This window comes from Homo sapiens, chromosome 8, assembly GCF_000001405.40.
Source record: "Homo sapiens chromosome 8, GRCh38.p14 Primary Assembly".
In the NCBI taxonomy this organism is placed as follows: domain Eukaryota; kingdom Metazoa; phylum Chordata; class Mammalia; order Primates; family Hominidae; genus Homo; species Homo sapiens.
In genome coordinates this window covers 121,134,268-121,150,595 of record NC_000008.11, presented here as the reverse complement: position 1 = coordinate 121,150,595, position 16,328 = coordinate 121,134,268, and the positions used below count along the sequence as shown (strand labels likewise).

The 16,328-nt window shown below is 39.5% G+C and overlaps 1 long non-coding RNA gene across 1 annotated transcript, besides 1 other annotated feature; it reads left to right on the top strand.

Annotated features, from left to right (window-relative positions):
* Positions 4,753 to 5,047: a silencer, noted in NCBI's record as "tiled region #14891; HepG2 Repressive non-DNase unmatched - State 22:ReprW". NCBI's record gives its function as "represses a minimal TATA promoter and a strong SV40 promoter by Sharpr-MPRA in HepG2 cells {active_cell/tissue: HepG2}" and the evidence as "EXISTENCE:reporter gene assay evidence [ECO:0000049][PMID:27701403]".
* LOC124902010 (uncharacterized) lies at positions 5,553 to 10,547 on the top strand. The gene is made up of 2 exons (XR_007061080.1): positions 5,553 to 5,819; positions 10,302 to 10,547. It is a non-coding gene; the product is annotated as an uncharacterized LOC124902010 (long non-coding RNA).
* The last annotated feature ends 5,781 nt before the right edge of the window (positions 10,548 to 16,328 follow it).

Genomic DNA, 16,328 nt, shown 5'->3' with positions numbered 1-16,328 from the left:
TGTTAGTTGGCTGAGAATGATGGCTTCCAGCTTCATCCATGTCCCTGCAAAGGGCATGAACTCATTCTTTTTTATGGCTGTATAGTATTCCATGGTGTATATGTGCCACATTTTCTTTACCCAGTCTATCACTGATGAGCATTTAGGCGGGTTATAAGTCTTTGCTATTGTAAATAGTTCCACAATAAACATGTGTGTGCATGTGTCTTTATAGTAGAATGATTTACAATCCTTTGGGTATATACCCAGTATTGGGATTGCTGTGTCAAATGGTATTTCTAGTTCTAAATCCTTGAGGAATCACCACACTGTCTTCCACAGTGGTTGAACTAATTTACACTCCCACCAACACTGTAAAAGTGTTCTTATTTTCCCACAGCCTTGCCAGCGTCTGTTGTTTCCTGACTTTTTAATGATCGCCATTCTAACTGGTGTGAGATGGTATCTCATTGTGGTTTTGATTTGCATTTCTCTAATGACCAGTGATTATGAGCTTTTTTTCATATGTTTGTTGGCCGCAAACATGTCTTCTTTTGAGAAGTGTCTGTTCATATCCTTTGCCCACTTTTTGATGGGGTTGTTTTTTTCTTGTAAATTTGTTTAAGTTCCTTGTAGATTCTGGATATTAGACCTTTGTCAGATGGGTGGATTGCAAAAATTTTCTCCCATTGTGTAAGTTGCCTGTTCACTCTGCTGATAGTTTCTTTTGCTGGGCAGAAGCTGCTTAGTTTAATTAGATCCCATTTGCCAATTTTGGCTTTTGTTGCAATTGCTTTTGGTGTTTTAGTCATTAGGTCTACTTATGACAAACACATAACCAATATCATACTGAATGGGCAAAAGCTGGAAGCATTCCCTTTGAAAACTGCCACAAGACAAGGATGCCCTCTCTCACCACTCCTATTCAACATAATATTGGAAGTTCTGGCCAGGGCAATCAGGCAAGAGAAAGAAATAAAGTGTATTCAAATAGGAAGAGAGGAAGTCAAATTGTCTCTGTTTGCAGATTACATGATTGTATATTTAGAAAACCCCATAGTCTCAGCCCCAAAACTCCTTAAGCTGATAAGCAACTTTAGCAGTCTCAGGATACAAAATCAATGTGCAAAAATCACAAGCATTCCTTTACACCAACAATAGGCAAGCAGAAAGCCAAATTATGAGTGAACTCCCATTCACAATTGCTGCAAAGAGGATAAAATACATAATAATATAACTTGAAGGACCTTTTCAAGGAGAGCTACAAACCACTGCTCAAGGAAATAAAAGAGGACACAAACAAATGGAAAAAAAATTCCATGCTCATGGACAGTAAGAATCAATATTGTGAAAATGGCCATACTGCCCAAAGTAATTTAGATTCAATGCTACTCCTGTTAAGCTACCATTGACTCTCTGGGCAGAATTTGAAAAAACTACTTTAAATTTCATATGGAGCCAAAAAGGAGCCCGTATAGCTAAGACAATCCTAAGCAAAAAGAACAAAGCTGGAGGCATCATGCTACCTGTCTTCAAACTATACTACAAGGCTACAGTAATCAAAACAGAATGGAACTGGTACCAAAACAGATATATAGACCAATGGAACACAATAGAGATCTCAGAAATAACACCACACTTCTACAACCATCTGATCTTTGATAGATCTGATGAAAACAAGCAATGGGGAAAGGATTCCCTATTTAATAAATGGTGCTGGGGAAACTGTCTAGCCATATGCAGAAGACAGAAAATGGACCCCTTCCTTACACCTTATACAAAAACTAACTCAAGACGGATTAAACACTGAAGTGTAAAACCCAAAACCATAAAAACTCTAGAAGAAAACCTAGGCAATACCATTCAGGACACAGGCATTGGCAAAGACTTCATGATCTGCCTTATACTTTAAAAGAATCCCTCTAGCTACTGTTTCAAGAACATATTTTAAGCAAGGAACTTCAAAACAAGAGCAGTTAGGGTGTGATCATAAGAGGTCCAGGCTAAATACTGTTTCTTACTCCTTTCTCACTCTTTCTTCAGACTTGTGGTAACAGGCAGGTAGAGTGGAAATATTCATTAGAAGTTACTGGAGTCTGTTTATATTTTGCAGAGAAAGCCAATTGGAAATTTTTATAAATCATTATGGTTTCTGAGAGAAACAGAAATTAAGGAACCCTCCAAGTGTTTTACTGAGATAGGAAAGACTGGAGGAGTAGAGGAAGGAGATAGTTTAAATGTGAGGAATCCAACAAGCTGTGGATGTGAATTGATGAACTAACTTCCCTTCCCTTGCCATTATGACCTGGCTTTCAGCTGGTAGAATCCAACCTCGTCCAGCAATGTTACAGGAATTTAACTCTTTTATAAAACCTTTTATAAAAACTCTTCTATAAAACCTTTTATAAAAACTCTTCTATAAAAGCTTTTATAAAAACTCTTCTATAAAACCTTTTATAAAAACTCTTTTATAAAACCAGGCCCAGCTGTGCCTTTCTAAAGCACACTGTCTTAAATATGCATTTTAATTTTTAAACATTATATTATCATGTAGGCCCTTAGAACATCAAGTACACAATGTTCCCCTAAAACAAAAACAGAAAACGAATCATAGCACCCTTTTCTTTTTCATTGCTGTCTAATTCCCACCTGTGTGTAGGAGCTATAACAAGTAAAGCTGGCAGACCATTTTAAATGGGAATGGACCTCCCCAAATCCAAGCCAAATCCAGATCTGTAAAGACAGAGCTTATGGAAGTGATAGGGCCAAGTACTGAAGACAGATCTGAGCATCTTGCACTACCACTGATTTTATTTGTCTGCTACTTTGAAACAAGGAAGCTAAAAAGCTCTCTCTTGCCCAAAGTCACCAACCCATTTGCTTTGCCGGGTACCTGAAAAAGCATGTAAAAAGGGTTGCTGACTTTGGGTAAGAGTGAGCTTTGTAGCTTCCTACAAACAAGAGCACAAGCAGTTAAAAAGTAAAATATTGCCAGTGGTTTTGTGGGTGAGCTGGGGAGGGAGGGGGAGACAGGGGGATTATACAGCATGATTTTTCACACCAACTCTGTCTTTAGTAGACAATTCCTTAAGCCATGAGAAATTCTTCAGGGAAGCAGGGCTACTAGTACGAGGTCCTAGGTGGTAATCTTTTGCAACTCCCCCCGCAAAAAAATGGATAGAGAACAGGGGACTGCTGAGAAACATATGTTCTTCAGGGAGTCTTGCAAGTCTTGCTGTAAACTCTGAGCCAACCCAGCTGTAAGGGAGCAGAGGTCAAGACTTCACAGAAAGCCAGATGCTGAAGCTAGCACATATTGTTTCACAGACATATATATGTATGGATATGTGTGCTGAATAAATATATACATCAATGTGTGTATATACACTGGCAAATGCCCTTCCCAGCTTCCCATCCTTTTAGGTAAACTGAAGGAGGAAGGGAAGATTTCCTGTGAAAACAACGTATAACTCTGCTCATCTGGTTAATGTGTGTGTCTGGATTCAATATAACCAAATGAAAAGAATGAACAGGGAGAAAGCTTTTGTGATATTAAAAAAAAAAAAAACACCTTTACACAGAGTATTCAATCTAACTGAATTCAATTTCTGACTACTATTTCTTGGCACTATTTGATACTATGTGCAATGTAGAAATAATTAAAAGACCAGTTACTTTTATCCATTTATAAACAGCATGACCTTGAGAATGGTATTTAATCTCCTGGAGAAATAACTGAGTGGGAGCATTTTGCTATTCCATCCTTATTACAGTAGATACTTAACAGGGATGCTCACAATATGACATAATAGAAAGAGCAATGGGCTTGGATTGCAGGCCCAACTCTGCCCCTAGTTTGCTGTGTTACTTTGACCAATTCATCTCATCTTTGTCTCTGCCCCCACAACTATTGCTAGAAAAGGGATAGTTTCCTCTTCTATGAAATAAAGTGGTTGGATTAGAAAAAGGGTCAGAAAATAAAAAGAACTGATTGGGTTCCAAGTATTCCACCAGGGCATGAGACACCTGTCTACAGGAGGCGAGGACTCTCATCGGTGGCCTACTGCTGCCATATGACAACAAAATCTGTTCTAATTTTTCAAGAAAGGGTGGCCATCTGTATTCTTATATGATACTAATTATTTTTCTTTTTTGAGACAGGTATATTACTCTGTTCTCATGCTGCTAATAAAGACATACCCAAGATTGGGTAATTTATAAAGGAAAGAGGCTTAATGAACTCACAATTCCACATTGCTGGGGAGGCCTCACAATCATGGTGGAAGACAAAGGAAGAGCAAAGAGAATTCTTACATGGTAGCAGGCGAGAAGAGCTTGTGCAGGGGCAGTCCCATTTATAAAACCATTGGATCTGTTGAGACTTATTCACTAACATGAGAGCATCATGGAAAAGACCCACCCCCTCCAATTCAATTACCTCCTACCAGGTCCTTCCCACAACATGTGGGAATTATGGGAGCTACAATTCAAGATGAGATCTGGGTGGGGAGTCAGTCAAACAATATCAACAGGGTCTCATTCTATTACCCAGGCTGGAGTTAATGGCATGATCATGGCTCATTCCAGCCTCAATCTTCCGGGCTCAAAAGATCCTCCCACCTTGGTGTCCTGAGTGGTGTGCCTGCCACCACATCAAGTTATTTTTTGTATTTTTTGTAGAAATGAGGTCTCACCATCTTGCCCAGGCTAGTCTCAAACTCCTGGGCTCAAGCGATCCTCCTGCTTTGACCTCCCAAAGTGCTGAGATTACAGGTATGAGCTACCACACCCGGCCCTAAGCAATTCTTAAAATACCATAAAGGACAAACAAAACCCTTCTGTGTGTCCAATCCTTGCCCACAGGCTGACAGGCTGCCAGTTTGCAATCTCAGGACTGAATGACTCATAAAGTTTCTTTTATTTCAAACAATGTGTAAGATTTTGGCATAGATATCTCAAGAGTACCCACATACCTCCTGCTGCTGAAATAAATTATGTTAGCAAATTGTGTCAGGGGGCCTTCCAAGGGTCACTCACTGCCTTGCCTAAAGCTCTTTTGAAGCCATGCTGCCTAGTTCCATGTCCAGAGGAATCTCTAAGCTGCCTTGTGGCATTCACAGCTCTACAGAAGTCAGCAACGCTGCCTATAATTTACAAGAGAACATCTCCTGACCTGGTCATTGAATCTTCTCTCAAAGTCTGTGACTCCACATCCAGCTACAACTGTGGAGGCTACTTTTGCCTCCCTGGGAAAAACTCAGGGACCTTTAAATAACTCAGCAGCACTCAAATCCCAGAAGATCTAAACATTCTGTGTATCAGAATTGTTAAAATAACTCATTGGGAGGTCATTAGATTGTAGGTACTCCAGCATCCTGAGTTTCTACATAAGTAAACCAAAACCCAACTCAGAAAGAATTGTGATAGCCTAGGAAAACAAAACTTAAGTTTAACCAATCAGAAACTGCCAATTAACCTCTTTGATGGTAAATACTGAGTGTCAAACTTGATTGGATTGAAGGATGCAAAGTTTGTTCCTGGGTGTGTCTGTGAGGGTGTTGCCAAAGGAGGTTAACACTTGAGTTAGTGGACTGCAGAAGGCAGACCCACCCTTAATCTGGGTGGGCACAATCTAATCAGCTGCCAGCATGGCCAGAATAAAAGCAGGCAGAAGAACGTGAAAACACTTGACTGGCTTAGCCTCCCAGCCTACATCTTTCTCCCGTGCTGGATGCTTCCTGCCCTTGAACATTGGACTCCAAGTTCTTCAGCTTTTGGGCTCAGACTCGCTTCCTTGCTCCTCAGCTTGCAGACAGCCTATTATGGGACCTTGTGATCAGGTGAGTCAATACTCCTTAATAAACTCCCCTTTATATATACATCTATCCTATTAGTTCTGTCCCTCTGGAGAACCCTGACTAATATAACTTGTAACTAGAGATTTAAAACTACTGTCCTACCTTAACCAATCACACATTTTCTTTGTCTTGCTTCTGTGAAAACCTTATAAAAATGTTCCCCTCACACCTCTTCAGTGGAGCCCCAAACCACCTGAGGTCAAATTGGAACTGCCCAATTCATGAATTGCTGTCTAGTCAAATAAACTCTTGAAAATTTTAATGTGGCTAAATTTATCTTTTACCATTATTTAAAAATAAAGAAACTGAATCTATCATTATAGAGCACCCCCCATGTGCCAGGCCTGATGCTGCAAGCTTGCACATAATACAACAAAAGAAAACCACACATAACGTGTGTAAAACTAGGCAGGATATTGTCACAGAAGAGGATAGCTGGATGAGAAATAATTAAGGAATATGTGAATGATAGATGTTGCCAAGAGATTGTGCTCAAAGTTTTCCTTTGTTTTTAATCAATGCATATGTAATGACCTGATAGTTTCATTTTGCCTGCTGCCCAGATAGAGCCAGTTTATCAAGACAGGGGATTGCAATACAGAAAGATATTAAGTCTCACAGAGCCAGCTGAACCAAAGACTGGAATTTTATTATAACTCAAATCAGCCTCCCTGAAAATTCAGAGGCTAGAGTTTTTCAAGTATAGTGTGGAAGGCTAGGGAATGGGTGCCGCTGATTGGTTGGGAATACAATCAAAGGGGTATGAAAATCGGCCTTTGCATGCTCTGAGTCTGCTTCTGGATAGGGTGATAGGACCAATTAGTGGGTCTGGGTGGAGCCATTGGTAGTCAGAAATGCAAAAACCTGAAAAGACATCTCAAAAGGCCTATCTTAAATTCTGCAATAGTGATGTTATCTGCAGGAGTAATTGGGGAAATTGCAAATCTTGTGACCTCTGGCATAATGGCTGGTAATTACTTCTACACCTTAGCAGAATTCAGGTCCCCTCATTCTCCTAACCTGGTGGTCTTTCGTTAGCTTTACAAAGGTGTTTTAGTTTGAGGGAAGGGCTATTATTTAAACTATAAACTAAATTTCTCCCAAAGTTAGCTTGGAACAAGGCCAGGAATGATTAAGGGCAGTTTGGAGGTTAAAGGCAAGATGGGGTGGGCTAGATGAGATCTCTTCCACTTCTATAATTCTCTCACTGTTACAATTTTTGCAAAGACAGTTTTGAGTATTTTATTTAGTTTCTACCCATTACATACCATGCCCTGGACATACCTACCTTTACACAGGTAAAGGCTAGAGAGACAAACAGACATTGAAAAATAAATTATAAAAGATATTTAATTGAATACTAGATAGAAGGGGAAAAACAGTTTCATGGAATCATGTAATCTAGCTTGGGAGTGGGGTTTGGTTTAGAACATTCTTTATGGAGTGTAACAGAAACCTGATGTTGCAATAATCGCATCAAGTAAGTTTAGCCACAAACCACTTGCACTTGATGTTTCATTTTAGAAATTTTCTTACCATTGACCTCCACCCTGCAACTTGGTTACCAATCTCCACTTGTTCTTGTTGGAGTCAGAAATGAGCCCAATCTGTCTCTCCCATTGCAAGACACTTTTGTAGAAGTTCCTACATCTATGGCCATTACACCCTTTGAATAAAATCTGCCTTACCACCTTTAACAAGTGTCATAAATAATTTTTTTTAACAAGTGAAAACCTTTCCGGAAATTTTATAATTGAGTTTAATCTTTAGCAGTTTATAGATTTCTCTAGTATACACTTAATTTTTTTAATGTTTTAAATTTAGGTTTGGGAGTACATGTGAAGGTTTGTTGCATAGGTAAATTCATGTCATGGGGGTTTGTTATACAGATAATTTTGTCATCCAGGTATTAATCCCAGTACCCAATAGTTATCTTTTCTGTTCCTCTCCTTTCTCCTATCCTCTACCTTCCATTAGACCCCAGTATTTGTTGTTTCCTTCTTTGCATTCATAAGTTCTCATTATTTAGCTTGCACTTATAAGTAAGAATATGTGGTATTTGGTTTTCTGTTCCCGCATTAGTTTGCTGAGGATGATAGCCTCCATCTCCATCCATGTTCCCACAAAAGACATAATCTTATTTTTCATGGCTGCATAGTATTCCATGGTGTATGTGTACCACATTTTCTTTATCCATTCTGTCATTTATGGGCATTAGGTTGATTCCATGTCTTTGCTATTGTGAATAGTGTTGCAATGAACATACACATGCATGTGTCTTTATTGTAGAATGATTTATATTCCTTCAGATATATACCCAATAATGAGGTTGCTGGGTCAAATGGTAGTTCTGCTTCGAGTTCTTTAAGAAAGTGCCAAACTGTTTCCCTAGTGGCTGAACTAATTTACATTCCCATCAGTGTATAAATGTTCCCTTTTCTATACAACCTCACCAGCATCTGTCATTTTTTGACTTTTTAATAATAGCCATTCTGACTGATGTGAGATAGTATCTCATTTTGGTTTTGATTTGCATTCTCTAATGATCAGTGATATTGAGCTTTTTTTCATATGCTTGTAGGCTGCATGTATGTCTTCTTCTGAAAAGTGTCTGTTCATGTTCTTTGCCCACTTTTTAATGGTGTTCTTTGTTTTTCTCTTGTAAATTTGTTTAAGTTCTTAATAGATGCTGAATATTGGACCTTTGTCAGATGCAGAGTTTGCAAATATTTTCTCCCATTTGGAAGGTTGTCTGTTTACTCTGTTGATAGTTTCTTTTGCTGTGTAGAAGCTCTAAAATTTAATTAGATCCCACTTGTCAATTTTTGCTTTAGTTGCAATTGTTTTTGGTGCCTTGTCATGAAATCTCTGCCCATTCCCGTGTCCAGGATGGTATTGCCTAGGTTGTCTTCCAGGGTTTTTATAGTTTGGGGTTTTACATTTAAGTCTTTAATTCATCTTGAGTTAATTTTTGTATATGGTATACACTGAATTTTCATGTGTGGTGAGTAGGGTATAGTTTACCATTCCCAGTTTTTTTGTTTTTTTGCTTTTTTTTTTTTTTTTGAGACAGAGTCTGGCTCTGTCACCCAGGCTGGAGTGCAGTGGTGTGATCTCCGCTCACTGCCAGTTCCACCTCCCGGGTTCACGCCATTCTCCTGACTCAGCCTCTGGAGTAGCTGGGACTACAGGCACCCGCCCCCACGCTCAGCTAATTTTTTGTATTTTTAGTAGAGACAGGGTTTCACCATGTTAGCCAGGATGGTCTCAATCTCCTGACCTCATGATCTGCCCGCCTCGGCCTCCTGAAGTTCTGGTATTACAGGTGTGAGCCACCGCGCCCAGTCCATTCCCAGTTTTTAAAATGTGAAAACCGAGGTTCAGATAATATAAAACATTTGCCCCAAAATCACATAAGTAGCAAATGACAGAAATAAGAAAAAATTTTAACTTTCTATTTTTTAAACCAATGTTTCTTTCCCCCTATTCCATTTTGTAGATGGTAGAATTCTCAGTACAAGAGAATCTAGAGTTCTCATTTTCCCCAGGGGAGAGTGAATAAAATGAAGGAGTTCCAAAACCTTGAGCTAATGAGAAAGAAGGGTCTTCTATAGTCTCAGCTCTCTAGAAGGGCATTAAGTGTCTAGAAGGGCATTCACAAACCAGAATTTTGTCTCTAGAAGGGCATTCACAAACCTGAATTTTATGACTATCTGTTTCTCAGAATTTATTAATGATGTTGCATTATGAAAGCATTCTGTAGTTACATGACTTGGGGAAGCTCTGGGTTTAAAGTTGATTTCTTTTAACTACAGGGAATTGAAATACATTACTAATCGCTCAGGGGGAGTATACTACAATTTCCAAAACTTATTTTCACAGCTTGTGTGTTCTGAAAAAGGCAATTTAGTAAGATCGGCCTTACAACAAAAGGAAGACTCAAGGACAGGTTTGACTTTTAGGTCCTGGCCATGCGTGAGCCAGGTCTCCTGTGTGAAAGAGGATCTGAAGGAAGAAGTGGCAACTTGTTCCCCAGCTGAGATGCATTTGCTAGCTTTGGCAACTGTCCAGGACAAAGATGGATGCTTAAAAGTGATTTTTAAACTACAGAAAATTAGAATCAGTTCAATAAATCATTTGTTTAGCATCATAATAAGATTTAAATACAGAGCTAGCAATTTGTTATTTTAAACTGCAAGAACACAGTTGAGTGCCTGGAAGCATTCCCTGACATTCTAGTGACTTTTTAAATGAAATTCTAGCAAAATGGAAAAAAAGACACGTAATGATCAAGAGTTCAGGGAGAGGTTTTGATATATGAAACTGTTACATTTGCCAGTGTTAACAACTATCAAGTGGAGAGAAGAAATATCAATTTTTTTTTCCAAAGCAAATTTTCTTCAATTAAGTGACAAGAAAAAAATGCCAAAAATACATTTTAATTTGCTTTTATATTTCCTCCAGACTAACCAGAACCAGATACAGAGACCAGAAGTATCAGTAGGAAGAACAGAACAAGAATCTGTTCATTCAACATTTTGTCCTGGCTTTTTCTGGATGCTGAGGATTCAGTGATAACAAAGAAAAATCTATGTCTCCACTGGAACTTATATTATTGTGGAATACAAGAAATAAAAATTTTATGTTTTCAAGTAATTTGTTCATTCATCAAACATTAAGAAAATAAATGAATATATCCTTTGTGTCAAATACTGTGCTAGATTTCATGGATAAAATAGTATTTCCTTTCACCCAAACTCACTCCAGCCACATTCTTTGTCCACCTAGTAATAGAGCACTCCACTCAATCATATAATCAGACTAAATATCTTAGGATCCTTGACCATCTTCTGCTTCTCATAAACCATATTCAAACCATCAGCAAATCTTATGTTCATCAAAAAATATACATATTAAAAAATTCAACAATTTCTCACCCATATCCACTACTATCTGCATGGTCCAAGCCACCATCATTGTTCGTAACAGTTTCCTACTCAGCTTCTGTATTAGTCCATTTTCATGCTGCTGATAAAGACATGCCTGAGACTGGGCAATTCACAAAAGAAAAGAGGTTTATTGGACTTACACTTCCACATGGTTGGGGAGGCGTCACAATCATGGCAGAAGGTAAAAGGCATGTCTCACATGACGGCAGCAAGAGAGAGAATGAGAGCCAAGCAAAACGGGTGTCCCCTTATCAAACCATCGGATCTCATGCGGCTTATTCACTATCATGAGAATAGTGTGGGGGAAATCACTTCCATGATTCAATTATCTCAAACAAGTCCCTCCCACAACATGTGGCAATTATGGGAGTACAATTTAAGGTGAGATTTGGGTCCAGACACAGAGCCAGACCATAACATTCCACCCCTGACCCCTTCCAAATCTCACGTCCTCACATTTCAAAACCAATCATGGCTTCCCAACAGTCCCCCAAAGTCTTAACTCATTTCAGCATTAACCCAAAAATCCACAGTCCAAAGTTTCATCTGACACAAGGCAAGTCCCCTCCACCTATGAGCCTATAAAACCAAAAGAAAGTTAATTACTTTGTGGATACAATGGGGGTACAGGCATTGGGTAAATACAGCCAATCCAGATGGGAGGAATTGGCTGAAACAAAGGGGCTACAGGCCCAGGCAAGTCTGAAATCCAGCAGGGCAGTTAAATCTTAAAGTTCCAAAATGATTTCCTTTGACTCCATGTCTCATATCCAGGTCACACTGATGTAAGTTCCCATGGTCTTGGGCAGCTCCACCCCTGTGGCTTTGCAAGGTACAGCCTCCCTCCCAGCTGCTTTCACAGGCTGATGTTGAGTGTCTGCAACTTTTCCAGGTGAAAGGTGTAAGCCATCAGTGGATCTACCATTCTGGGGTCTGGAGGATGGTGGCCTTCTGCGTTTCCATATATCTTCTGAAATATAGAAGGAGGTTCCCAAATTCCAGTTCTTGACTTCTGTGCACTCACAGGCTCAACACCACATGGAAGCTGTCAAGACTTGAGGCTTGCAACCTCTGAGGCCACGGCCTGGGCTCCATGGCCCCTTTCAGCCACAACTGGAGTGGCTGGGACACAGGGCACCAAGTCTCTAGGCTGCACACAGCCCGGGGACCCTGGGCCCAGCCCATGAAACCATTTCTCCTAGGCCTCTCGGCCTGTGATGGGAGGGGCTGCAGTGAAGACCTCTGACATGCCCTGGGGACATTTTCCCCATTGTCTTGGGGTTTAACATTCAGCTCCTTGTTACTTATGCAAATTTCTGCCACCAGCTTGAATTTTTCCTCAGACAATGGAATTTTCTTTTCTATTGCATTGTCAGGTTGCAAATTTTCCAGGCTTTTATGCTCTGCTTCCTTTACAAAACTGAATGCCTCTAACAGCAACCAAGTCACCTCTCGAATGCTTTGCTGCTTAGAAATTTCTTCTGCCAGATACCCTAAATCATCTCTCTCAAATTCAAAGTTCCACAAATTACTTGCAAACTGCCACCAGTCTCTTTGCTAAAATATAACAAGAGTCACCTTTGCTCCAGTTCCCAACAGGTTCCACATCTCCATCTGAGACCACCTCCACCTGGACCTTATTGTCCATATCACTATCAGGCTTTGGGTCAAAGCCATTCAACAAGTCTCTAGGAAGTTCCAAACTTTCCTACATTTCCCTGTCTTCTTCTGAGCCTTCCAAACTGTTCCAACCTCTGCCTTTACCCAGTTCCAAAGTCACTTCCACATTTTCAGGTATCTTTTCAGCAACACACCACTCTGCTGGTACCGATTTACTGGATTAGTCTGTTTTCATGTTTCTGATAAAGACATACCTGAGACTGGGCAATTTACAAAAGAAAGAGAGGTTTATTGGACTTAGAGTTCCACATGGCTGGGGAGGCCTCACAATCATGGCAGAAGATGAAAGACATGTCTCAGATGGCGACAGCAAGAGAGAGAATGAGAGCCAAGCAAAAAGAGTTTCCCCTTATCAAACCATGGTATGAGGGAAACTGCCCCCATGATTCAATTATCTCCCACCAGGTCCCTCCCACAACATGTGGGAATTATGGGAGTACAATTCAAGATGAGATTTGGGTGGGGAGACAGAGCCAAACCATATCAGCTTCCAATCATTTTTTCCTAACACCTGTATTCAACAGGTTATCCAGAGCAAGTCAGAATACTATTTTTCTGTCTGATATCTTCTTTTATGCTGCCTCTCTCAGTCTGTTTGAGATGCTATCACAGAACCATACACTGGGTTACTTATAAAGAACAAAAATAGATTTCCCACAGTTCCGGAGGCTGGGAAATCAAGGGATTGGCAAATTCAGTGTCTGATGGGGGCCTGCATCCTAGTTCACAGATGACTGTCTTTTCACTGTCTCCTCATGGAATGGACAAGGAAGCTCTCTGGATTCCCTTTTATAGGAACGCTAATCTCATATGAAGTTTCTACCCTTATGAACTAATAACCTCCCAATGGCCCCACTTCCTAATACCAACACACTGGAGGTAAGATTTTCAACATATGAATTTCGAGAGTATACATTCAGTCTACAGCACTGCCTTAATGCATTTGTAACAACCTGCCATGTTGTCTATGCTCATCTGTTTGTGTATTATTCATCTCCCTCCTCTTAAACATAAATTTTTTAAAAAGGAGTATGTTTGTTTCTAATATCTAAATCATCATTTAGTCTATTATAGTACATTTTACAACATGATAAATATTCATAAGGTGTAAGCAACAATGGTGTCATAGATGATAGATGAGGGTTTGATCAATGCTCTTTGGGCTTAGATTGTAGAAAGATCAGGGAAAATTTTATGAAGGAATTGAAGCTTGCTCGAAGGAATTGAAGCTTTCTCAAAGGAATTGAAGCTTGTTCAAAACTTACTATGTTCTGAAGGGAGTACTTCTGCCCTCTCTGTACAATATCAACAATAGCCTCCTGACTGATAAGACATGTCTTTAGTACTTACCCCAAACAGCCTCTTCCTTAAGACATTTTTCGTGACTTTTTGTGTGTTTAATAAAAATTGATTGAGTGTCTTTTGTTTGCAGGCCATAAGGAATGCAATCATGGATGAGATAAATGTGAAGACCACTGGAATGCAGTGAGGTAAGGGCAATCAGAGGCAAGTAAACAGGGCTATGAGCCTTTGAGTCTTCCAATTTATTTCTCCTTCTTCTTCTCAATTCTGTTTTGCTTAAAGTTGTATGTTTCTCCAATATGCTTATAGCTCCCATTTCCAGCAAAGTTAATTATTCTAACATGGGTGGGTTTTGAGTTTGAAATGTAGTTACTCTCACATACTCTTGCTCTGCTCAGTCCATTTCAGCTGCCTGTACTGAAGGCCACAAACAGCCTCTATTCTCTACCTCTTGGATCCATTAGCAACAAGAAGTTGAAGCTGGAACCACTTTGCTTCACTAACCTGCTGTGTGGTGTGATGGCCACCTTTACAACACCTGGCAATAATAACGGTGCAAGCAAATACTAGAGAGGCAAGGCAGGTCATGTAAGTGAGAGAAGCATGCTGGCTAAAATGTAATAATGAGTAGTGGGGACTGGATGTGGTGAAGAGAACTTGCACTCAATGACGGCAGAGCCAGGAGTGACTGTCACAGAGGGAATGTAGATCAAGGGTAGGGAGGAAACCTCTTTTCCTTTTTCTTTAAATAGAGGGACACACTAGCCTCTCTCCATGCTCTCATCCACTCCTACCCAGAGATAAGTGAAGGATCGGGCCTCTCAAGTTAAGAGGAGGACCTGGACTTCATATCCCAGCCTTTTTCTTGCTCTTTCTCTCTGGCATTTACCTGTCTGCTCCTCTATGCGGTATGTGTTACAGAATCAGGCCACATAAGAAGGCCTGCAGTTGTTTGGTGTTGCCTGTGACTGGCTGAAGAAGCCTATTTCTGGGATTTGGTATTAAGAATCCCATTGTTTCTGCTCATTTAAGCCATGTCTTTTGTCTTAGACTTTGTCCATAGTAAATGAGATATTTTGATCTTCACCGGCCTTAATCATTTTTTTCTCTAATTTTTTAGTCTATTCGTAAACTCAAGTGAGGAAAACAGGGGTGCTATTTATTGGGCCCCACAAATCATGTGACTGGTGTTGCTTGATTTTCTAATTTCTAAATAAAAGTTCAGATTTTTATATTTAAAAATCTTCCGATTCCAAAATGTTGGCAAAATAACTCATGCATTTATTTTCTCTTTAAAAAATTTAATGAAGAACTTGCTTCGGAACATTGCTTGGGAACAATTAGGAACATTCCTTCTATAAACTGAACTTTTTCTAAACATTTTAAATTTATTTATTTTAATTGACAAGCAAAAATTGTATATATTAATTGGGTACAACATGTTGTTTTGAAATCTGGATACACTGTGGAATGATCAAATCGAGCTAATTAACATATGCATCACCTCACACACTTATAATTTTGTGTGAGAACAGTCAAAATCCACTCAGAATCCATAATTCATATATTTTTAAAATCCTAGGTTCCAAATGAAATATATCTGTAAGCCAATTTTCACCAGAGGTCACCAGTTTGCAATTATGCTCTAAACCCTGTAGTTTAGGGCAAGTGTCAGTATCTAGGTTGCTGTCCCAGTCCTTTCTGATAAATCCAGTTCTCATTTGAAGTTGGAACCCCGCTTTTTTAATTTTAGTTTTTTAATTGATAAGTACAAGTTGTATCTCTTTACCTGAGTTGACTAATATGGATTCCTGATATCTTAACTATCCAACCATCCCTGTTCAGCACCTTGTCCTAGAGGCTAGCTCTCATTCTCTTCACCCTCCTTCTCCTCCCAGCTGCAAATTATTTAATATCAATATTCCTCTCCATTCACAGATTATTTCTCTCTCCCAGCCTACCTTCCACTGAGACCTTTAAAATGCATGGTATTCATGTGCACACTATAAGATCTGAGCAAATTCAATTTCTTCTTTTCTCTCTTTCACACTTGGTGTGTGGCCATTAATACAAATTTTTCTCCTCTTTCTCTTATCAAATAGGAATACCTGATATACCTATAATACCTGATGTAAGGTATTATATGTTTCTTCTTTCCATTTTCATTGCCCTGTTATTTATTCTCCTTGCTTTCTTTCTGGTAACTAGCTCCACTGACAATCTCTTTCCCTAGGTCCTTATTCAGCCAGTCTGATAACAGCCTCCTGGGAAGAGCAAACTGAATCAATTTTTTTTAATAGCTGATTATTTTCCAAAGCTTGCACTAGTCAATAAGACAATGTCTCCATCTCTCCTGGGACCACCCATTCAGTCTTCAACACAGCTTATTTGACTTCTTTCCAGCCATCTGTTTTACTTGGGCAAAGAGAGTCAGTTTTAATGTCTACATGTTTTTCCTTTTATGTATATTTTTGGCACCTTTAGTTAATTCAGAGTTAGCTCCAGAAAGGAAACATTTACCATGTCTCAGCAGCTGTTTAGTCCTAGAGGAAAAAAATGA